This window comes from Homo sapiens, chromosome 8 (genome assembly GCF_000001405.40).
Source record: "Homo sapiens chromosome 8, GRCh38.p14 Primary Assembly".
Taxonomy (NCBI): Eukaryota; Metazoa; Chordata; class Mammalia; order Primates; family Hominidae; genus Homo; species Homo sapiens.
Window position 1 is genome coordinate 19,556,332 of NC_000008.11, and position 25,138 is coordinate 19,581,469.

Genomic DNA, 25,138 nt, shown 5'->3' on the forward strand with positions numbered 1-25,138 from the left:
CACCATTTGCACTCCAGCCTAGGCAACAAGAGTGAAACTCCATCTCTCAAAAGAAAAAAAAAAAAAAGATGATTTTATTATGGAACAAAATCCTACTTTAACATCTGTTCCTTTTATTTTAAAGGGGGAAATAATGGATGACAATCAGTGATAATGAAATCCAATGGATTTGGCTTTGGCATCAATTCAGAGTCAATATTCAGTGTCACGGCACCACGGCAACCAAGACTGCTGACCAATAGTGTTGTGCTCTAGTCAATTTAATGAGTTGGCACAATCAGAACACAGCATTATTGGGACTGTTCTGTATGCAAGCTTCTATCTGCTGCAAGCAGGCACAAGCTATAATAGATTCTCCTTTTTTTTTTCTCTCCTAGGATAATTTCTCCAGTGCCAACACCCAGAGCTTCCAGAGTCATATTAATGCACCATGTATCTTGAAGCAAATTTAATCTCAGAAAGACCTAGCAATTTTCAGGTCAACAGACATTAAAGTACAACAGGATGAAGTTTCCAGATGTAAACTAAAATTGAACCCGGTGTAGACATTTAAAGTAAATCAGATACAAAGTTAGAGACACCTGTAGGCAGGTGTGCTATAAACAAACCACACCACTGCAGATGAGAAGGATCATACTCTCTGCCCAGCCAAAAAAAAAAAAAAAAGTCTTCAACCTCAACTGGAACATCCTTCAGAGAAGAAAAGCAAAATTCAATCTTGGGAACATATTCTAAAATGCTTTATTCAGGTGAAAAGGGATTGGCATCACTGTTGAGGTGCCTGGAATTTCCCTTGCACCCCAGATCCAATTCTGTAAATTTAGTTGCCTCTTCTAGACACATCAGGAAACCACTGAGCTGTCACAACCTCATCCTACCCAGAATCTCCTGGTCTACCCGGAATCCCTGTCTACCCATAATTCCCTTGTCCTTGATCTCTTGCCTTAAAACTGTAGTTGCCTCCTCACTACTATTCCTCTTTTCTATATTTGTCTCTCTTCAGACTATTATATGGCAGCAGAGGGATCCTTGCAAAACTAAAGTCAGATTTTGTTATGTTCCAGCTCCAGACTCTCCAACGTCTCCCATTCAATACATCCCAAATCCTGGACCAGGGCCTCCAGGCCCCTAAAAGACCCTGCACCCAGCCTCATTTCCCACCTCAAAGCCCCCACACTTCCCCTGCTGCCTTGTTAGCCACACAGGCCTATTCGTTGTTTTGGGGACACACCAGCATTTGTACTTTCTCTTTTTCTGGGACATTCTTCCCCTAAGTATCCACAAGGCCTATTCCTGTATTTTATTCAGGCTTTGCTCAAAGGTCATCTCACTAACTTCCTCTTGACCATTCTACCCAAACAGCACCCCCTGTCAACTCTGTTTCCTTTCCTTGCTTTATTTTTCTTCTTGCCACTTCTTCATACCTATCATGTTATTATAAAGCTCTTTGTTTGTTGTCAATCTCCTATCCTGAAACATAAACCCCATGAGGAAGGAACTTCGTTTGTTCACCACGCCATTCTTCTCAGTACATACAACAGTATCTCACACGTGGTAGCTTTTCAAGAAACTTGTGATACTGTTTGAAACCATATCAAAAGGTGCCTAGCAATAAATCTAACAAAAGACATGTAAAAATGAAAACATAAACAAGTAAACAAATACAGTCCCAACTCTAATAATAAATGCCTTTCTGATTTTAGTAACGTCACTCATCTCATCTCTTGGACAAGGAAATTGTACTGCATGGCTGCTTTTGTCTCATCTCATTCTAAAATTCTACTATTTCCTGAATCAGCTGATCACCACCACAGAATGTTGTGAAGCTACCATTTGATGAATGTTTATCATGTTTACTACAAGTGTTATTAACAGCTCAAGTATACATTTAAGCTACCTTTTGGCACACTTTTACATTCACTTTGGGTTTTTTTGTGGATTCATGGCTCTTTAACATATCCAATGTGATTTGATTGCCAGTATCATGTTTTACATTTCAGCCATTCCTCCAAAGTAGGAACCCTCTTCATGGCTGGAACTTGGCTCTTTGCCCTTCTTAACACTATTTTAGAAACTTCTTCTTTACAGTTAGGGATTTAAGGGTCCCTATAGTTGAGAAAGTTATACTATTAGGGTTTCCAGGAGATTTCTGAACATTCTTGAAAAGGGTATGTTAATACAGAAAAAGTATCTATGGATTTGGAAAGCTAATTAACATAAATCGAAATTATATCCTGTATTTTATATCATGTGGGTTTAATCTAGATGTTTACTTTTTAAACTTAAAAGACTTATTTTTTGCTTCCAAAAGTAAAAACTATTCTTAGAAAATGCACTACTCAACTACTGACTCAACGCTTAAACTATTAGTGTCATGGGTTATCCAAGAGAGAAAAATTCTTTTCACACTGACATTTAATTTAGAGATTTAAATAGAATACTGAACAAGTTTTAAATCCAGTTATTAAAAAAATGGTTTCAGGGATGAGGCCATTACCTACACGTCATCAACATTCTTGGGAAGATATTTTGCAAAGAGGTATTTTTTCCATGAAACAATTTATATAAAGGAATTTTTCTCATTATTAGCTAAACTGGAAATATTCTGAACATAATTTGAACTTTCCCAAAGGAAGATCATTTCCAAATATTTGATGTTCCTTGAACTACATGCATAGGTAAACAGTTCTATTTCAAAGCAACTGTGGCTTTCACAACAAAAAAGCTTAATTTTTATTCCTCAGGGAACTTCAGAATGAAATTAAACATTTCAATGCTCTATTTTAACAACAAAGATGGTATCTGAAATGGAAATTACAAACTAATGTCTCTCATGAACATGGATACAAAGCCCCACAATTTTAGCAAACCAAATCCAGTAATATATATCATGACCAAGTTGATTATAATTTTTTCAATAAATGCAGAAAATATAGCTGATAAAATTGAACATCCATGATTTAAAACTCTTAGAGAAGTAAGAAGAGAAGGTCACTTCTTTCCCATTAGATTATCTACCATACAAAAATACTACCGCAAACATCATACTTAAATGCTGACAATTTCCATTTGAAATCAGAAGCAAGACAAAGATGCCTACCATCCGCACTTCTATTCAACATTCAACATCAAATTAAAACCTAGCCAGTGTATTAAGGCATAAGTAAATAAATGGTACAAGGATTGGAAAGGAAGAAACAACTGTCGTTATTCAGAAATGATATGATATCCAAATACATTCACAGATAAGCTGTTAGAATAGTAGAGTTCAGCAATGTAGGGAAACCAATTAGCAATGTAGAAAAACTAAATTTCTATGTATATAAAAGCAAACCGAAAATGAAATCCAAAAAAAAGATACCATCTGAAACTGTATCAAAAAGTGCCTAGCAATAAATCTAACAAAAGACATGCAGAAACCTCTGAGGAAGAAAACAATAAAACTTCAGTAGAGAAAGACAACATTGTAAAGATGTTGGTTCTCTCCAAATGAACTTATAGAATCAATACAATGCCAATAAAAACCCCAAGACTTTATGTGAGGTGGTGTGGAACTTGACTAAGTTGATTGTAAAATTGCATATGGAAATGCAAAGGGCCAACTATAATTAAGACTCTCTTGAAGTACCAGGCTGTTCTCTCAGATATTAAGACTCACTTAAGAAGACGCAGTAATTAAACCAGTGTGCTACTGGTATAGAATAGACAAACGGCACTGACTAGAACACTTGGAAATAGACCCCCACTTATAAACATTTTTGGTATGTTGCATAGGTAGTAAGTAGAATGTAACCTGCACGGACCTTGGGGGACTGAACAAAGAGGGTGAAGTGGTTTCACTAAATGGAACTAGAGTATCCAAATAAAAAAATTCATTTCAATCTTTACCTCACACCACACATAATAATTTCAGATGGACTTTAAGCTTAAAGACTGCAAGATTAAACTCTAAAGCTTTTAAAATTTAATTTATAAAATATATTCATGACCTTGAGCTAGGAAAGGACTTCTTTAAAAAGGCACAAAAGGCAACAACCTTATGAAGTGGCTGACGAATATGACTACATCAAAATTAAAAACTTTCTGTTTATTAAGAACCACCATAAAGAGAGTTAAAAGACATGCCACAGAGTAGGAAAGAGATCAGTCACATGTATAACCAACAGAAGACTTCGATCCTGAAAGCATAAGAATTCTGCAAACAATTCAATAGATACACAACACGATGGAAAAATGACCCACTTCACACACACAAGGGGAAATCCGTGTGACCACAAACAGGAAAAAGGAATCAACCTTACGAGCAAACAGAGAAAAGCAAAATAAAACCACAAAGAGATATGAATACACACCTTCATTCTGCAACAAAACAAAGTATGACACTACTAAGTGCTGACAAAGATGTAACACCACTTGGAACACAGGACAGATGCAGAGATGCGTATTCCAGGAGCCAGCAATTCCACTTCTGGGTTGATAGAGAAAGGCATGCTGGTATGCACTGGAATGCAGGCATAGGAATATTCACAGCTGCAAAATCTATATTCCCAAAACTGTTAACAACCCTAAGGTGGATAAACACACTCATATTTTCATTCAATCAAATACTTCACTATACAGCAGCAAAATCTAAGAAGCCACAGCTACACACAGCAGAATAAATGCATCTTACAAACCTAATATAGAACAAAGCAGCAAGACTCAAAAGAACATACAAAGGCTGACTTCATTTATATATAATTCAGTGATAACCATAAATAATTATCAAAAGAGTGGTGAGATTTTTTTAAAGCAAGGCAATTATCATAAAAATGAGAAGACTAGGTGTCTGTGGGAGAGGAAAGGAGTGTGATCAGGAAGGGACTCATGGAAGGTTATGGACAATCTGTCAATCTTCTGTGTTATATAGGTATCTACTTTCAAATTATTCATTAACCTCTACATTTATGGTTTATGAACATTTTTGTACATATTTTTGGTCTTATAATGAAAATGACAGAAAACAAACGTGTAAATTTCAGAGCTTGATTTGGACATAGGTTGGATAAGTGCTTCATGACCAACAAGCACAGGAAGCTAGGAGAATAAGAAACAGATGAAAAATAATGGTGGAGGTTGTTTCCTATGTATGAGTCCCTCTCCGAGGCCCCACCAGGCTCTTCACTTGCAAGCCCTCTGCTCTATCCCAGATCCTGTGAAAAAATTCAAATCTAACTGTGGCTTATACCTGCTGCTAAAGGCGGCCTTGGCCTGTCCTGCAGCAGGTGTGATGATTAAGATCCACGTGCAGGCCTTCTCTCCCTTTACAAGGGGAAAACAAGTACATGGCAGAAGGGGCAGGGGGCATACAGAGAATGATTCTTTTACCCCTCTGACCTTGTTACTAGAAACTAGCACAAGAACAAGCACAAAGGGAATATGCTGTGAAGCTAATTCTACTGGCAGTGAACCAATAGTGAGGAAGGCCAGTGGAAGCAGCAGTGATTACAGGGAGAAGAGGAGAAGTCAGTGGGGCCAGGAGGGTAAGAGGTAAGAGGAACACCTGAGCCCAAGCCAGGCCCAGATGGGTGGGGAGGGATTGCTATTTCAGCATGCGGCCTGATCATGCCTGCATTTCTCACCCTTGAACCTCTAGAATGCCCTTGACCTTCCCCTATCCTCCACCGTGGCTTCCACCTTCTCCTACTCCCTCTGGATGGAGCTCCTACCAAGCCTGCACTGAGGCATCACCTGACAAGTATGGGTCCTGGGGGAGGAAAGCTGCTGTGGTCCCACTCTGAGCACCACCATCCTGCCACCCCCACAGACCCCCCACAGCCAAACCAGAGGCTTGGGCCCTGATGGGCTATATCAAATAGAACCCAGGCTTAAAGATATTATCTTGAATCTTCAACCTTGAAAAGGCTCTTCATGGTCATTGAAAGCTGACTTGCTTATTTCATAAAAATTCTTCAGGCTAAGGCAAAGAAGTCATTTTGAAGTGCCCTTTTACATAGAATAGTAATGACTTAGAAACAAAAAAATACTATTTTTGCTAGGCAATACCATTCAGGATATAGGCATGGGCAACTATTTCATAACAAAAATGTCAAAAGCAATTTCATCAAAAGCAAAAACTGACAAATGGGGTTCAATTAAACAGCTTCTGCACAGAAAAAAAAAAAAAACTACCATCAGAGCAAACAGACAATCTACAGAATGGGGAAAAATTCTGCAACTTATCCATCTGACAAAGGTCTAATATCCAGAGTCTTAAACAAATTTACAACAAAAAAATAAACAACCCTATTAAAAAGTAGGCAAAGGACACAGACACTTTTCAAAGAAGACAAGAAACATATGAAGAAAAGCTCAACATCACTTATCATTAGAGAAATGCAAACCAAAACCACAATGAGATACCACCTCATGCCAGTCAGAATGGTGATTATTACAGTCAAGAAACAAAAAATACTGGCAAGGCTTTGGAGAAACAGGAACGCTCTTACACTGGTGGTAGGAATGTAAATTAGTTCAACCATTGTGGATGACAGTGTGATGATTCCTCAAAGATCTAAAACCAGAAATATCATTTGACCAAGCAATCCCATTACTGGGTATATACCCAAGGAATATAAATCATTCTATTATAAAGATACATGCACATGTATGTTCATTACAGTACTATTCACAATAGCAAAGACATAGAATCAACCCAAATGCCCATCAATGATAGACTGGATAAAGAAAATGTGGTACATACACACCATGGAATACTATGCAGCCATAAAAAGAAAGGAGATCATGTCCTTTACAGGGACATGGACGGAGCTAGAAGCCATTAACCTTAGCAAACTAATGCAGGAACAGAAAGGCAAACACTGCATATTCTCACTACTAAGTGGGAGTTGAACAATGAGAACATATGGACACAGGGAGGGGAACGACACACAATCGGGTCTGTCAGGAGGGTCAGGGGGAGGGAGAGCATCAGGAACAATAGCTAAAGCATGTTGGGATTAATACTTAGGTGATGGGTTGACAGGTGCAGCAAACCACTATGACACACATTGACCTATGTAACAAACCTGTATATCCTGCACGTGTAACCTGGAACTTAAAAATTTTTTAAATAGAAAAATATTATTTTCAGCAGAGACAACTGGCAAGTCATGGCTGACCTGGAGTCGCCTTTACCCACTCCCACTCTATCAGTGCCCACCCATTGCCTCCACATCTGTGTCAAAAGAACCCATTCTGATGGTCACCATCACCGCTCTTGAATATGCCTGCTTCCTCCTATTCCCACAGCCCCTGCCTTACTTCAGTTACTCATTCACAAACTACATTGTGACTACCATGGTAGCTTTCTAAGCAGTCTCCACCTCCACTCAGATCTTTAATCCACCCTTCAAAGTCAGCGGATCCAGCCTCCTAACACAAGTCTGCTCAGATCCCTCTAAGCCTCAAATGTCTTCACTAACTCCCAGCGACTCATACAGTCTAGCCTTCCTTGCGTAACACTCAAAGGCCTCCAACCTCCCCTTCAGCCCCTCCCCCAGGCATGTCCTCCCCAACCCTAGACTCCCACCACACTGGCCTCCTCCCTCAGCCACGCACACTCACACACCACGCTGCGGCTGTTTCTGAAGCTGGACGTTCTGTCTCCACGGCTCTCCACACCACACCTACTCCTTCAGATAATCCTTCAGATTTCCACCACTGAGCACTGCCCTGTCCTGACTTGATCCTTCCACTGTCGGTGCTCCCACAGGATACTGCTTTAAAACTTCAGTTAAAACGCTTCTTTCACTGAACTTAACGCACAGAACATTTCGCAAACTTTTAAAAGAGGAAACCAGGTCATATCACTCCCTACTTTAAAGGACTTTAAAGACAACCCGTTGATTTTCAAACAAAATCTACGTTTTCTACTTTTTCAATATCCTGAATTACCCATGCTGGTTTCCTGTTAGATTAGAATCCCTCTGGGCACAAAACAAAACAAAATAAAAACAGCCACAAAAATGGATGCCTAGTCCCATCCTCAGAAATTTCAATTTCGTTTTTCTCAGGTGAGGTTCAGGTATTTTTTTTTTTTTTTTAAAGTTCCTGCAAGATATTTCTAATGGGAAGCCCAGGTTGGGAACCACAGAACTAGGTGACAGGTCCTAACTGTCCTTTGTAACCTAATTTCCCACCACAGGTTCCTCAGCCACAATGTTCCACATTTTGGCTCCTCGAAGCTGCCCACACTCATTCTTGCCTTGGGGACCTGGAAGAGCGGCCCTATATGCTTATGCAACCTGTGCAGTGCATCCACAGCACTCACTCCTTTGTGTCCAATCAGAATTCATCTTAAAATCACCTCCTTCAAGAGGCCTTCTTGGATCATCCAATCGAAAGACGCCCTTGCTCACTCTGTAGCACATTTCATTCTAATTCTCTGCATAGCACTTTTTCTGTAGTATTTCTGTGGTTTTTTAATTGGCTACCTTGCCCCATGAGAATGTAAGCCCCATGAAAGCAAAACCTTTATCTGGGTTGTTCAGCACAGTTTCTCAAGCTCCTAGAACAGTGCCAGGCACACAGCAGGGATTCAGTAAATATTGGTAGAATAAATGAGTGACAAGTGAGTGAACATATCTAGGTCACTTCCATCATGCTCCATCATGCTGTGCTGTGCTTTGCATATAAAAGGACCTCAATGAATCCACTGCATTTCAGGGACTGAAAGTGCCCACTATATTACAAATTTGGCCGAAGTTTGAAGGTTACAAGCATCCTTGCTGAAAAATATCCTTTTCCTACTGTATATAGAGAGAACAGATTATGTATCACTTTACAGACTTTCGAAGTGTTTCTGAAATCCAACTTTCATAAAACACTTTCCACCTTTTTCCAAAATCCAACTTTCGGAAAAGTTCTAAAAGTCAAAAAACACCATAGAAAAAAATTTTAATCTGACTCCCAGATTGAGTAAGTAAAGGTAAAATAAAGGACTCCCCTCAGTCTCCTCTGGCATAAACTGTCACCTCTCCAGGCAGTGTAGCAGGACTGCCTACTTGGCAGACTACAAAACTAATAAAGTCCTCAACTATCATGTAATTTTTAAAAATTAAATCTCTTGACCTATATTTATGACATTCATTCATCTCAGGTAGTTAGAGATATCTTTCCAACTCAAGATCCTCTGATGATCAATTTTATAAAAATAAACAAGAAGTTCAAAGGATAAATTTGAGAGATAGCCAAGTATTCTCTCCAGCTTCATTGGTTGTACTACTGAAAACAGAGCACCTCTATTCTTACATTAAAGAACTTCAGGCCGGGCACAGTGGCTCACACCTGTAATCCCAGCACTTTGGGAGGCCAAGGTGGGTGGATCATCTGAGGTCAGGTGTTCAAGACCAGCCTGGCCAACACGGTGAAACGCTGTCTCTACTAAAAATGCAAAAATTAGCCTGGTGCACATCTGTAATCCCAGCTACTTGGGAGGCTGAGGCAGCAGAATCGCTTGAACCCAGGAGGCAGAGGTTGCAGTGAGCCGAGATCGTGCCACTGCACTCCAGCCTGGGCAACAGAGCAAGGCTCCATCTCAAACAAAAACAAAAACAAAAAACTTCAAGGCTGATCTAGTCTTTAAATGCCCATTTCTAGTTACCTTGAGTTACATCATCATCAAAATATAGTAACAGCTTCCACGTTGTAAATAGGATGGCTGGTGGCCTCGAAAAAGATGTATCTGTCTCCTAATCCATAAAACCTTTTGTCTTCTATGGCAAAAAGAGTGAATATTACCTTGCATGGCAAAAAGATATAATAGAGTTCATTACCTTGAGAGGAGGAATTTATCCTGGATTATCTGGATGGGTCCTAAATGTCATCACATGTATTCTTGTAAGAGAGAGGCAGAGGGAGTTTTGACACAGAAGAGGAAGGAGCAATGTGACCATGATCAGAGACTGGAATGATGTGATCTAGAGCCACCAGGAGCTAAAAGAAACAAAGAATTTGTTCTCTCCTGGAGTCTTCAGAGGAAGCGTGGCCCTGCTGACAACTTCATTTGAATATCTAGTCTTTAGAACCATGAGAAAATAAATTTTTTTGTTAAAACCATAAGGTTAAATAAGCTTAAAAGCCTTATGTTTATGGTCATTTGTCACAGCAGCCACAGGAAACCAACACGCACACTTAATGGACTGCTTAATATGTGCTACACATTATAAAAAACCTGGTACAATAAATATTAGTTACCAAAAAAGATGTTTCCGTTTCTAAGAAAATAGGTTTTTGCATTTTAAATAAGTATAATTAAATATATTCAATCTCCATTTTGCAGGTCAGATCTAAAACAAGGTGCTCCATTCTTGTTAGGATTTGAAGCCCCTTGCTTGATGTCTCTGTAAGGGAGTTCCCCATCTGAAAATACAAGATTAAAATTCTCAACTCCTTCAGGGTTAAAGGGATAACATAAAAGAGGATAACAACAGGCTACCCCTCAACGATTCACGGAGTCTTAGAGCAAAAGCAGCCCTTGATGAGTACTTACAGCCAACCCCCCTTTTTCTAAGGATGAAAAGGCAAAGGTTCTCAAGGGTGAGGCCCTTGCCATGAGAAAGCCAGGAGACTCCAGGTATGTGGATCCTGGCTCAGAGCCCTCTGCACAGCTCTGTGCTGCCTGCAGAAGGATAAGATAATATCCCCAATTCACTCATACTCGGGTTTCCTCCCCTCCTAATGCGTGAGTTTTCACTGGTCAATGCAAACACTCAGTCACCTTTAGGGCTAATGGCAAAACACAGGCTTAGGGCACAGATTGGTTCAACTGAAAAGACTCAAGCCTAGACCTGATGGAGTAAAAAATGGCAAAACAAAAACCCCAGATGTCCTGAGCTGATCATGAGCCAGTACTTGCTCAGAACCACATGTACACCAGTACAAAGAGGGAGACTTAGGTGACTGTAAACGTCAATTCTTCCAGCAGTCGTTAGCCAGGAAAAAGAGTAGAAGGATCAGCCTAGAACCCAACCTAAGTAATAAAAGTCAATCCAAAATATTATGTTAATGAGAGTGAGTCAGGACTGCCATTTTCCACATTTAAGAGGCAGTGTGACAGACAAAGTGTATGATAAAACTCATCATCCACCAGAAATAGAAGGCTACTTCCTTAATCTGATGAAGGGTATTTACAACAACTCTACCATAGACATTACACTTATTGGGGAAACGTTAAAACTTCTTCTTTTGCGATCTGGATTATAAGGATACCCACTACCATCACTTTTCTTAAACTCTGTACTCAAGATCTAAGCCTATGCAATAAGGCAAGGAAAATAAATGTGAAAATATAAGAATTAGAAAAGACAAAATTAGAATGTCATTATTTACTGATGTGTCTATTTTCTATACGTAGAAAATAGGAAAAATCCAAAATCCAAATGAAAACACATATAAAATATCAGAATTAATAAGAGTTTAACAACGTTGTTAGATGTAAAACACAATGTGGAAAAATCAATTCTATTTTAATATAAGCACAAAGAGTTAGAAAATGAAATGTTAAAAAGATACCATTTACTATGTCATCAAAAATATAAAGTACCTAGAAATGAATTTAATGAAAGATGTATAAAACATAACTATGAAAATGATGTAACTTCACTGAGTTCTCTAAAAGTAGCTCAGGTATGTATATATGTTTTAGTCTCAACAAATGAAAAAAAATCAAATTGGATGTAATCATCCACCATATGTTTTCATTCAAACATTGGTTTTTGCAATGTAGAGATATCTTGATTTGTTATACAGTCACTTAACAATGGGAATACATTCTGAGAAACACACTCTTAGGTTATTTAATCATGCAAACATCATATATTGTACTGACACAAACCTAGATGGTAGAGCCTACTATACACCTAGGCTATATGGTATAGCCTATTGCTCCTAGGCTGTAAACCTGTAAAGCATGTTACTGTATTGAATACAATTGTAACACAAGGGTAAGTATTTGTGTATCTAAACATATCAAAAAATAGAAAAGGCATAGGGAAAATATGGTATTATAATCTTATGGGACCACCATCATATATGTGATTCATCATTGACCCAGACATCATTATGCGGTGCATGGCTGTATAAGAATTCTGATCAGATGGGTGCAATATAGGCTCTGATGGTGGATCAGGATTATCCCAAATTTAAATAAACATCAAATAATCATTTGGATTTCCATACTCAGTACTATATTAACTGTGAAAAACAAAAGGACTTTAAATTCTTTAATTTTATAGTGTATATAAAGAAAAATCTGCTGGAATCTAAAGTCTAAAGTGGCAATATATATAAAACTTCAAAAAATATGAGATTCTATTCAGTCAATACATCCAGAATGAAATGGTCCAAACCAACAGATATATGGTGCCAATACAACCTCGCATTGCAGTAATTTGAAATTTCTGTCTCAATTTTTAGCCATTTCCATAGCTCCCTGTTAGAGCTACCTTTAAATGTAGGTAGAATAGACAGCTTTTTATATGGGGATATTTATCAAGACTTCCTTTCAAAATTCTCCCTTAGCCTCAACAGATCAAACATCCAACCATCAAGGCTAATTCCTTGTAGCTAAGACACTATGTGTCCCAGAATCCATTATTAAAATAAAAATACTTCCAGGAGGAGGTAACATAAATGAACCATGATGCAATTTTAACACTGCAACTTCATTTACCTGAGTCAAAAGCAAGATATGGGGCAATCAATTCTGATAATGTAGAAAAGAAATGAGAGAGCTTTTAAGGAGACAGATATGGAGTACACAGTGCTACCATTAGCCAGATGGGCGTAGTGGGAATATCCTGAAAAGTACACAGTTAATGACAGCACAGTGCTAGAGGAAAACTGAAAAGATGCTACAGACAAGCATAATGTGCTTGACTATTTAGGGTGGGGACTGGATCCTGCTGTTAAGATAGGTTTGAGAGGCTATTGATCATGGCACTTGATCATAACTTGACTCACACTGCTGATGGACTATTCTCTCTGACACCCTAGTGAAATACAGTAAACTCATCAAAGCAGGAGTGATGCTTTGTCCTTTTATAGACCTTGTGATACAATAAAGCTTTTTGAACCCAGTACTGAATATTGCCACCTGGTGAATTAAAACTTCACTTGAGAAGAAGTATCTGAGTTCTGGAGATGAAAAAAAAAAATCTACTTTTAAATTAGAGCTAGCACTTTTTTTTAGCATTACGAGTTGGTTGTTGACAATACCAAATGCTTTCAAGGATGTGGAGCAACTGGAGCTCACATACATTGCTGGTAGAGTCGAAATTGATATAACCAATCTGTAACTCTGTTTATCAGTGTGTTCTAAAGATAAACCTAGGCCTATGCTATGACCCAGTAAGTCAAGAACAGACATGTCCACCAGAAAGCACGAACAAGGATATTTAGAAATTTTATCCCTAATAGTCCAAAACTGGATAAACTAAATTATCCATCAACAGTAGAATGGATAAATTATACTATATTCATACAATACTTCACAGCAACCAAATAGAACAAACTACTGCTACATGCAGCCATACAGATCAATCTCAGAGACACAATTAAAGAAGTCACACATAAAGGAAGATATACTCTATGATGCTATTTGTATGAAGTTCAAGAGCAGGCAAAAGTAATCCAAGATGTCTGATTAGATTAGAGGTCCAAATAGTGGCACGCTTTGGGGCAGGGGATGTTAAATGGAAGGGAGGGTAGATTGGGGGCCTATTTTTTTTTTTTGGTTCTAGAAGTGGTCTACATCTTGATTTGTGTGGTGATTAAACAGATATATTCATATGTAAAACTCTGCTGAACTGTATACTTAAGATTTTTGTACTTTATGTAAGTTATACCTCATTAGAAAGGTAAGAAACAAAAAGTGTTGGCTGTTTCCCAAGGCTTAATATTCGTTTTAATCATTTTAATTATGGGAAGCCAATTTTCTTTAAGCATATTTTTGCTGATGGCTATAATTTGAATGCTTGAACACTTGAAAGGATTATTTAACCAATCCAACAAAGAATTGTATTCTCCCCCTACAAAGGTACAGAAGCCATTCCAGCTGTCTCAATAGTACACTCCTCATTAACACCTAAAAGGAGCCATAACCTAATCCGGACACAAACAGAGAGCAAGAGGTAATGAGGACAGGGACAGAAAGGAGTGGTACCTCTGACTCCATGGCTGCAGGGTTTCCAAGGCATTCAGGACAGTGGCACACGCTGGGAGGGTTGTTCTAATTTAAGACATGTACAGGCCGGGTTTGGCGGCTCAAGCCTGTAATGCCAGCACTTTGGGAGGCCGAAGTGGGCAGATCACGAGGGTAGGAGTTCGAGACCAGCTCGGCCAACATGGTGAAACCCCATGTCTACTAAAAACACAAAAATTAGCCAAGTGTGGTGGCAGGTGCCTGTAATCCCAGCTACTTGGGAGGCTGAAGCACAAGAATCAAGCTGAGGCTTGAACCCAGGAGGCACAGGTTGCAGTGAGCCGAGATCACGCTATTGCATAGCAGCCAGCCTGGGCAATGGAGCAAGACTCCATCTCAAAAAACAAACAAACAAACAAAAACAACAAACAACAACAACAAAACGTACAGAGATGCCTCTGATTTATGTATTTATTTATTTTTGAGACAGGTTCTTGCTTTGTCACCCAGGCAGAAGTGCAGTGGCACAATCACTGCAGCCTCAACCTCCCAGGCTCAGGTGATCTCCCACCTCAGCCTCCCAAGTAACTGGAACCAAAGAAGTGTGTCACCACACCTAGCTATTTTTGTATTTTTTGTAAAGATGAGGTTTTGCTATGTTGCCCAGGCTGGTCTCAAACTCCTGGGCTCAAGCAATCTGCCTGCCACAACCTCCCAAAGCACTGGGATTACAGGTCTCTGATTTTTGAAACTCCGTATCCGATATAACTAAGACACTCATCTGACAAACCTGCTATCCTACAGGAGCTAGTCCCTACCTAAACACCTATGATTCAGGGAGTCCTAGAATTCTAGAGTGGGGGGCACCTGAGAATTGTTACTGACTTAAGCCTGGTGCCTATCTGGCCAAAGTCCAGAAAGCAATTAAGAGTAGCCCCCCACCAAAACAAAAACAAAAACAAAAAAAAAAAACAGAACCAGGGAAAGAGTCGCTGTCAGCTGCCACTCTTTCTCCCCAACTAATATGGCTAATACGGCATTTATACTAAAAAGGATCTACACATATTTTAAGTTAATGGCTAAAGCAGAAAGGGGTTTTTGAAAGTAACTCTGGATGAAAGTTACCAATATCTGAAAAAAATTATATTGGAAAGTCACAGAGAAAGGCATTAGTTTCAGCTTTCCCAGCCAAAGCCCACTGAAAAATGGCCTCAGCTATTTCAGCCACTGACTTTTCAGAGCTTTAAAGCAAACCTACAGTCCCTCAGCAAAATGGGAACAGAAACCTCTGCCCTCTTTGCTATCAGACAAGGGCTGCCTGGAAAGCTAATGTATGACATGCCTGAATTTCCTAAAAGAAGTTACTGTAAGTTTTCTGTAGGGCCTACAAAGATAAGATGGATTTATTTCCAATTATTTGGATTAAAACTGCCTGCCTCATTTTCATCAAATAAGTCATTACATTCTTTCTGAGGGGTTCCCACATCAATGGAACTTGCCAATCATTTCCTATTTTCAATGGATAGAAAACATCAGCCACCTTCAAGTGTTTTTCTCATGTTGAGAACAGCAAAGTCTGCCAGTCAACCAGAAAAACATCGGCAACAACAACAAAAATATTTACATACTTCCCCTAAAATAATCATGTTTTCATATGCTTTTTAAACTTTTAGAGTTCCATCTCCTCAACCTGTAACACCAGAGCCACTTCTCCAGAAGATTTACATGTTTATCTACCTATCAAACTCTATCTCCCTAGATGAAAAGAATGAAAATGTTGAAATTTGTGCCATTAATGTTCACCTTTCCTTGTCATTCTTCATGGATATTCAGTGAAACAACAGCAGTATTGGAGGCTTAACACTGATTCTAAGAGAAAACTTACAGTAATTTTCAGAACAGGTTAACATGAGAAATCAAGAAAGCAAAAAGCAACAGGACTCAAGAGTCTGTTCAGATAAACTAGCCTTACCTATGGCCAAGGCTTACGTACCAATGAAGGGAAAGGCTTCCTTGGCCAGCAAATAAACCACTTTCTGGGTACATACTACTCACAAAGAAGTTTTAACTCAGCAACTACAATAAATTATTCTAGTAGTTCAAACTAATTCTATCTACCCACCTGCAAATAAAATTACTATTTTTTCCTTTGGTTGGATAATGTTGCAAGGCACGATTCCCATGCTAAAGGTGGAAATTGGATAGCAAACGCTAATGGCATTTCACAGCACTATTAAATGTTTACACATTTAATGTGTATTATCTGGGGTCACTGATAATTGACAGTAAGATTTTTCATGAACATCCACAAAACACAAAAGAGACTATTTTTCACTCTGTTCCAGTGAAGATAAATAATCCGTAATGAGATATAATTGAGTACTTTCTCCAGAAAATTGCTGCAGTCCCAAAAATCCTAAATATCGTATTTGAAAAGCAAGAAGGCAGTACGAGGGATTCAGAATCAAAATTATACTTGTTACAACTGGTGGAAATGATACCAAATAACAAATACACAGGGGACAAAGGATGAAATGAACTGGAAGTGGGTTTTTCACCTCCTGCCAGCAGATCATTTAAAAGGATACACTCCCATGGCGGTAGCATTCGGAGGTTTTACTTTGATCTCAAGACATGAAAAAGATTAAGTCAGCTTGGTTCATCCTCTCCTCATCCAGCTGTACCCTGCAAATTAGCCCTTACCCACTTCTTCATTCAAACATCAACTGACTGTCATAGCAACCAGAATGTTGAACAAGCACAACTGCTGGAAAGTGATCAAACGAATCATCTTATTCTCCCTCTGGCCCTTTAAAAATCCAGCAGTGGGCGGGTGGCCTTCCTCGGCACTGGATGAAAACCTTGGCAGGTGCCAGGACCTTTCTGTTCACTCTTAGTTGACTAAGAGTCACTTAAGTCATGAAATATTCCAATTTTTTTTTTTTTTGGACACTAAGTCTCACTCCGTTGCCCAGGCTGGAATGTAGTGGTGCGATCTCTGCTCACTGTAACCTCTGCCTCCCAGGTTCAAGCCATTCTCCTACCTCAGCTTCCCATGTAGCTGGTATTATAGGTGTGAATCACCACATCCAGGTAATTTTTGTATTTTTAGTAGATACAGGGTTTCACCATGTTGGCCAGGCTGGTCTCGAACTTCTGACCTCAAGTGCTCTGCCCACCTCGGCCTCCCATACCAATCTCTCTTAATGATCAATACTGCAAACCTAAGAGTTCCATCTCTCCTTCCAGTGATAGGCTAGTTTCAGGAAGGGGATGTATAAGGCTTCTCTCTTTACAACTGCTAGCTCCCTCAAGGTGCTGGGGATAAAGCAGGTAGAAGAAAAGGAGTAAGAGTCCTTAAGAGGACTGGTTCCATCATAAGCTGGCAATCCATTCTTTGGGCCTGGCAGATACTTATTTTAATTTTTAGAGAAAAAGTCTCTGTTACTCAGGCTTGATTGCAGTGATGCTATGACGGCTCACTGCAGCCTTAAATTCCTGAGCTCAAGCAATCCTCCCGCCACAGCCTCCAGATAAGCTGGGAATACAAGTGCACCATGATGCCTGGCTGGTTTTGTAGAGATGGCATCTTGCAATGCTATCCAGGTTGGTTGGTTTTAAACTCCTAGCCTTAAGACATTCTCCAGCCCTGGCCTCCCAAACTATTGGAATTACAGGCACAAGCCACTGCACCCAGCTGGCAGATGTTTAAAGTTCATTCTTTCTTGTATGAGCTGCTCTACTGGGGACTTGGAGATTCTCAGTCCTGGAAACCATCTCTCCTGCAGGTCCTCCAGACCCAGCAAATGCAACCTAGTGCCAATGGTCTCTTGCAACAACTTCCACAGCCTCTTGGAATCTGCCATCCATTTCCAGCCTCTTGCTCATAGGGTTCCTCCATGCAGCCCAGTTTATCAGACAGAACCAAAAAGCTATGCTGCTCTTTCACAAGAGGCTCACCTATCATGCAGGAACAATAAATACATAGCCTCATTTTGCACAACAAATGCTGGCAGAGCAGGTGGACAGTAACAGGGCAGCCACACATATGGTGTGGAACTGGCACTAAAGCCACAGCCAGCCCACCTCGTGCTGCCTGAGGTTCAGGAGTCCGACCCTGGCAGTGCCCTCCAGCCCTGTACACCATGGAACTGTGCTTCAAGGAGCCCTACTGCCATTCCACAAGGTTTGGGATAAGATGGCAGACTGTCTAAAATCTCTTAAAATCCTCTCTCCGGCCAGATGTGGTGGCTCACACCTGTAATCCCAACACTTTGGGAGGCTGAAACGGGCAGATCACGAGGTCTCCTGAGGAGATCAAGACCACCCTGGCCCATGTGGTGAAATCCCGTCTCTACTAAAAACACAAAAATTAGCTGGACATGGTAGCGGGTACCTGTAGTCTCAGCTACTCGGGAGGCTGAGGCAGGAGAATCTCTTGAACCCTGGAAGTGGAGGTTGCAGTGAGGTGAGATAGCGCCACTGCACTCCAGCCTGACAACAGAGCGAGACTCCGTCTCAAAAAAAAAAAAAATTCCTCTCTCCTCTCCATAATATGACCGTTTTAGAGCTGTGGGACTGGTTCTCAAAACTGCCTTGTCTGCCAACTCACACAGTTATTGAATTTGGATCTCTAGTGCAAAATGCAATTTTAAAATTCCATTACACCTCTCCTCTATAACCAGGGTATCTGAAGAGGCTGAACATTGTGGTTTTATTTTTTCCAATAATTGCTACCACTAGCTGCACTCTGGTTGTCGCCTTTTCCTCCTGGGAAGTTAGCAACCTTAATTCTCAGTCCATCCCAGAACACTTAATTTTTTGGGTTATGAAAATAGTCCAGTATATACAGCACCACCTATTAAGTATTCTTGCCTAAAAATAACTGAAGCTGAATCTAATCAAGTTTCTAAATCTACCTACTAGCTTGCAGGTAATACCAGAGATAGAGAAACACATTAAATAGACATCTTTTGGAAGTAATCGTTAAGCAGGTAAAACTTTCAATAGGAAAAATAATCCTGCTCCTCCATCAAACAAACATCAGAAAAGCAAGTGTTAAAACAAAACAAAACAAAACCTTTGAAACAACTGTAATAATTTGAATATTCACTGGGTATTCTAGGATACTGAGAAATTTTGTTAGAAGTAGTAATAGTATAATGGCTTATCAAAAAATGTTTTCATCTGTTAGAAGTATAAACAAAAGTATTTACGTGTGAAAGAGCAGAACGGCTTGGATTTACTTTAAAATATTCCCCTGATTTTTTTCAAGAAACAAAATAAAAGTTGCGGAGGCTTAGATGAAGTAAGATTGGAAAAATGTTAATCATCAATGAAGTTGAGTGATAGGTTCATGAGAGTTCATTGTACCATACTTTTCTATCTTTTGAGATATTTTAATAATAAAAAGACTTCTTCTTTAAAAAAGGTACACATTTCAATCTTATGCCCAATTCTAAGTTCCCCTTCCTTTCTGCAGAGCAGGCCAAGCAGGTGGTCTAATGGCTCAGACAGGAAGAGGTAGGTGGGCCGAGAGACGGGAGTGGGTGCTGTCTGCTAGCCACACCCCATCCCTGTTCTCTGTGCAGGCTCCTCTGATGATAGAGCCCAGAGAGGCTGGAGAGGATGTTTCCCTCAGTAGTGAGCAGTCATTTCTTTGTTGCTATCCCTACACTTTTTTTGTTGTCTTGTTTTCTTGAGACAGAGTCTTGCTCTATCGCCCAGGCTGGAGTGCAGTGGGGTAATCTCAGCTCAGTGCAACCTCCACCTCCCAGGTTCATGAGATTCTCCTGCCTCAGCCTCCCCAATACTGGGATTACAGGCACACCTTCACACCTGGCTAATTTTTGTATTTTTAGTAGAGACGGGGTTTCATTATGTTGGCCAGGCTGGTCTCAAAGTCCTGACCTCAGATGATCCAGTCGCCTCAGCCTCTCAGAGTGCTAGGATTACAAGCTTGAGCCATTGCACCCGGCCTATTCCTAATCTTTCACATGAACCTGCTGCAGTGGTGATAAGATTGCTGTCACCTTCTCGGTGGTCATCACAGATGATATGGATGGAGACCCCCAACGAGTCTTGCTGGCAGGGACCTCAGTCCCCTCCTCTGGGCACTAATGATCTCTCATTAGATCTCACCACATTATCCAGCAGACCCCCGACAGGCAGCCCCATGCTACCCTGCTGTGATATGACAGCCTTTCTAACCCACCTGCTGATTGCCCCATCAGTCTTACCTCTGCAGGCCAGAGCCAATACTTGGGCCCGCTTGTGAGTGGGGTCCTACTAGTGTATCTCTCAGAGATCATGAATTTGAGGAGGCTGACTTGTTTCCTGTGCAACTGGTTATACTGCCACACCTTACTGCTCTCCATTAGCACTGGGGCAGGTCAGCAAGTGCAATCACTGGCCATCCAATAAGAAAACACACAGCTCGCTTACCCCCCTCTTAGACACCCCGCAAATTACATGAGCAACCCTCTCGCCCTCCACACCCACCTCAAAAGCATGGAAACATCCAAACCCCCTTAGACTCTGCTCCCCTTTGGGAAAGAGAGAGAGGGTAACATGTATTTATTCACAAAGAAAGAAGATCTCCTCTTATGTGTCGTTCATCAAAGCCTGACAAACCAGTGCCCCTTCTTGCACCTAGAAATAGACTGAGAGTTGTGCTTGGCCTTGGAGAATTCATAATTTTGTTCTCCACGCGATACTAGCTCTACTGCTGGGGATGAGTCGTGTGGCATAAGAAAATCTCAATTAGTAGCCAGGCATAGTGGCTCAGGCCTGTAATCCCAGCGCTTTGGGAGGTCAAGGCAGGGGGACGGCTTGAGGCCAGGGGTTTGAGAGCAGCACCTAGACAACGAAGCCCGACCCCACCTCTACAAAAAAAAAAAAAGCCTAGTATGGTGGCGCACATCTGTAGTCCCAGCTACCCAGGAGGCTGAAGTGAGAGGATTTCTTGAGCCTAGGAATTCAAGGTTATAGTGATCTGCAATTGCATTACCGCACTCCAGCCTCAGTGACAGCAAGACCCTATCTCAAAAAAAAAAAAAATTAAAAATAGACAAGAAAGGAAAATTTTAATTAGCAACTCCAACCATCCTGTTGCATCTAGTAGGTATCAGGTTAGCATGCCAGACAACGAAAATATAAGGGCAAATAAGACACACTCCCATTGGGTTTAAAATAACAAGGCATGGGTTTGGGTCCAGGACTTGCTGCTTTCCAGCCGTCTGACTTGAGTAAGAAGCTGCAGCAACTTTGGAGTTAATACTGTGTCTTTAACTGTAAAACTGTAAAGTTAGAGAGGCGGCTGAGATGCCTCCCAGGTCCCCTATAGCACTCACAGCCAATGGCTGAGCCAAACTATTGGCATCACATCACATGAGACATCAGTCCAGCCCTCTGCCACAGTTAATTCAAAAGCAAAATAAAGAGATAGTTGGCATGCGGAATAACTGGATCCCATAGGTGTAGCCACACTGACTGGAGCAATGGAAAAAATTACTCCAGCACCACAGCTTGCTTTCACTCAGCAGATGGGCTGGAACATGTTCCAGATCAGCTGCAACCTTCGTGGTCCAGGCGCAGGTGGCACCGCAGGTCGTCCCTGAGGCATAAGGTAACATGTGGGCTACCAATGATGCCATCATCAAATTCTATCCCCCTAGCTAGTCACTATGCCATTTGCATTTAAAATAAATATTTATCACCATTTCTAGCATTATCACTCTCAAAAGTCCAGCCCTATTATGTGAGCTAGGCCAGCACAAAGTCAAGTGAGAGGACTTTAGGATGGCTCACTGGAGTGACCATTTGTCATGCTCTGGGACTTTGTGTACATCCTTCCTGTACTTAGGAATCAGCCACCTGTGATCCTGCTGCCTGGAGGAAGAAGACATTTATTTTCCTATAGCCTCTCTTGCGTGTGGAGTGAATCATCCTCTGTTGACTTTAAGTGAAAAATATTAACTTTTATTTAAGTGACTGTATTTGGGGGTAGCTTAGCCTGTGCTTTAATACACAAGCAAAATGATTAGATTCTGAACTGCTTTACTGCAGATCCTACCATCCCTGTATTCGCTATGAACTTACATTTGTGGGTGTGTTAGATACTACTCTAAACTGCGCTACCCACCTCCCTCTAGACCTATACCAAGTTTCTTAAAAAGGCACTGACCCAAGCTGTCTCTATTTTCTCTCTCCCGATTCCTCAGTCTGACTCAGTCTGACCTTCTGACGTCTGCCTCTACCACTCCACTCAAACTGTCCTTCCCAAGGTCACCCCTGATTTCCATATTGCCAAATCCCAACATTTTTGAGTCTTCATCCTATCTGATATCAAGACCACGTCGACCCTGCAAACCACCCTCTCCTTCCTTACATCATACTTTCTCTTGGAGTTCTTGCTACGTTGACCACGCTGGTCTCAAACTCCTAGCCTCAAGTGATCCTCCTGCCTCACATCCTTAAGTGCTAGGAATCCAGTAATGAGTCACAGCACCCTGACTCATTCAGGAAGTTTTAACACCAAAACATTTATGTAAAAATGAACTTGAGCCTATCCACCACACCCAGTCCAGAGTGATAACTTTCAACCATGAAAGTGCCATACTCAAAATCCTGCGACGGCTTCCCATGTCACTTAGGAGAAATTCCAAAATCCTCAGCATGGACTAAAAGGCCCACTTTGATCTGGCCCCAGCTCCAAATTCAGCTCACGTCACTTTCCTCTGTTCCCACTCCCTCCATGTCCTCTACACTGCTGAAAGCCTCACTGGCATCTTTTCAGTTCTTTAAATGAACCAACTTCTTGGCTGACAGGGTCTGCAGCACATGTGCTGTTTCTTCTAGAAGGCTCTGGGTAATTGCTTTTCACTACAGGTCTCAGCCAACACTTCCAAAGGGGCACATTCTCTAAAACCTTTCCCCTGGTGTAAATTAAGTCACTCTTCTAAGTCTCTTTCATAATTCATTTTACTTTTCCTTTGTAGCTCTTACAATAACATGTAATTATATAAAAATGTAGATTTAAGTAGAGATAGAGACGGACACATAGGTATTTGTCTCTACCATACTATAAGATCCTCAGCCAAGGGCAGGGATTATGCCTATTTAGTTCACAGCATTGTCCTTAGGTTCTAGCATGTTCAACACTGAATAAACAGAAAGTTAAAGGATGAATGCTAATAGCATATACCATGATTTTAACCTAAAAACAGTTATGGTATTTGCCTACCCTCTTTTCCCATAGGAAAACCTTGATACAAATAGATAATACTACCATATGTATTGCAGTCATGGAAAAACTTGGATTGCACAAGAATTACAAAAAGTAATGGTAATATCACACTAAGTCTCCCGCTGAGAACAATTACAAAAGCTGGATGAAGAAGAAGGAAGGGAAAGGACAGAAAGGAGGAGGAGGAAGAGGAGGAGAAATAGCTGCTGTTTGCTGTTTGCAGACTTTGGTCTTCAATAAAGGCACACAAAACTTGAGGGGTTAAGGAAAACACCCTGAAGTGAGACCCTCCTTTCTACTGCTTGCTCTTTTCAGAGCATTCACTAATTCCTGGCCAGGTTGCACTGGACGAGCAGACAGCTGCAGCCCAAAGCCTGGAGCAGTCTTACTGGGATGAGGAGCTGAAAAATGAAATCTAGGACTTCCAATGCAGCCAGAATGTGAGGCACAAAGATCCGAGAGAAAAGACAGCTTCAGAAAAATGAACCCAACATTCTTTCCAGCCTTTGCACTCCAAAGCTGTGAGTTGTAAAAGGAGGAGAAAATAAACAGAAAGCTTCTGCTAAGAGGCTAAAACGCTAAGCTGACTTTATGACCATGGCACTCAACTTAAGAGTTGACATTTAGGGCCTAGTATGGACAGAGTCCTGGTAAATACTTCAGGCTTTCTGCTGAGACTCTCAATGGCTTATACCTTAGAAACAAACCAAATGAAAACAGACTAACTTGAAACTTCACTCCAATTATCATAATGGTTGATTTAATCTAGATGAATAGCTTTATCCTACTGCCAACAGAAAAGAAATAGATCTTCCTTGGAGGAATAGAACAGCATCCAGAGAGCCTAAAAATGTTCACATACAGTATCAGGCACTTAATAAAAAATTACAAAGCCTGATAGAAAACAAGATCAAATGACCAAAACCAAGATACAAAACTGGTAATACACAGACTCACTGGTAATCTAGATATTTTATTCATCAAAATAGCATTTTACTATAACTACAATTACTGTGTTCAAGAAAATATATTAAAGATAGAGAATCTTACCAGATACCTAGCTTCTATAAAAAAGAGGAAAACTGAAATACAATAATTACATTAAAAACTCAATAGATAGGTTTAAAAGGATAGACACAGAAAAGTTTTATTGGAGTGAAACAGGTGTCAGCAGAAGAAAATCTAATCAGAAGCACAGAGAGAAAAACAAAGAATTGAAAATATGAGAAACAGCTTAAGTCACATTTAAGACAGGAAAAAGTAATGTACGTGTAACTATTATTCCAAGAGGAAAAGAGAATAATGAGAAAGAAGCAACGGCTACACAGATAGCTACAAGGAGTTTTCCAAAACTGATGAAAGGTATCAAGCCTGAGATCCAACAAGCTCCATGAACCACAATTAGGAGAAATATAAATAAAATATACCTAAAAGCCATCACAGTAAAACTGTGAAAATCAAATATAAAATCTTAAAAGCAGCTAGGATTGGGGAGCAATAGGAGAGCAGGTAATACTGCCAGATATAAATAGCATATTCAGGCCTGACTCATAGTTTCATACTCAATTATGCTATTTTGATATCCCCTCTCACCTACTTTGCAATTAGTAAAACTAAGGATAAAGTTCAAATAATGTCCTCTTAAACTCCCCAAATTAAAATGTTATATTTGTGGCAGAATTGTGCAACATATTAATTGTGAAACACAA

General features: G+C 40.3%; 1 protein-coding gene across 57 annotated transcripts in view, besides 1 other annotated feature; it reads right to left on the reverse strand.

Moving 5' to 3' along the window:
* CSGALNACT1 (chondroitin sulfate N-acetylgalactosaminyltransferase 1) overlaps window positions 1-25,138 on the reverse strand; it is a 353,748-nt gene that overhangs the window by 152,171 nt on the left and 176,439 nt on the right. For 5 of the 57 annotated variants that reach the window (NM_001354481.2, NM_001354487.2, XM_047421978.1 and 2 more), the window contains one exon: window positions 9,816-9,975. The exons of the other annotated variants lie outside the window; for them this stretch is intronic. The gene's annotated coding sequence lies outside the window, so the exon portion shown is untranslated. The remainder of the gene's footprint in view (window positions 1-9,815; window positions 9,976-25,138) is intronic. 57 annotated transcript variants of the gene reach the window in all.
* Window positions 21,920-23,119: an enhancer, noted in NCBI's record as "CDK7 strongly-dependent group 2 enhancer chr8:19435762-19436961 (GRCh37/hg19 assembly coordinates)". NCBI's record gives its function as "activates an origin of replication core promoter dependent on BRD2, BRD4, P300/CBP, MED14 and CDK7 cofactors, with strong dependence on CDK7, by STARR-seq in HCT116 cells {active_cell/tissue: HCT116}" and the evidence as "EXISTENCE:reporter gene assay evidence [ECO:0000049][PMID:35650434]".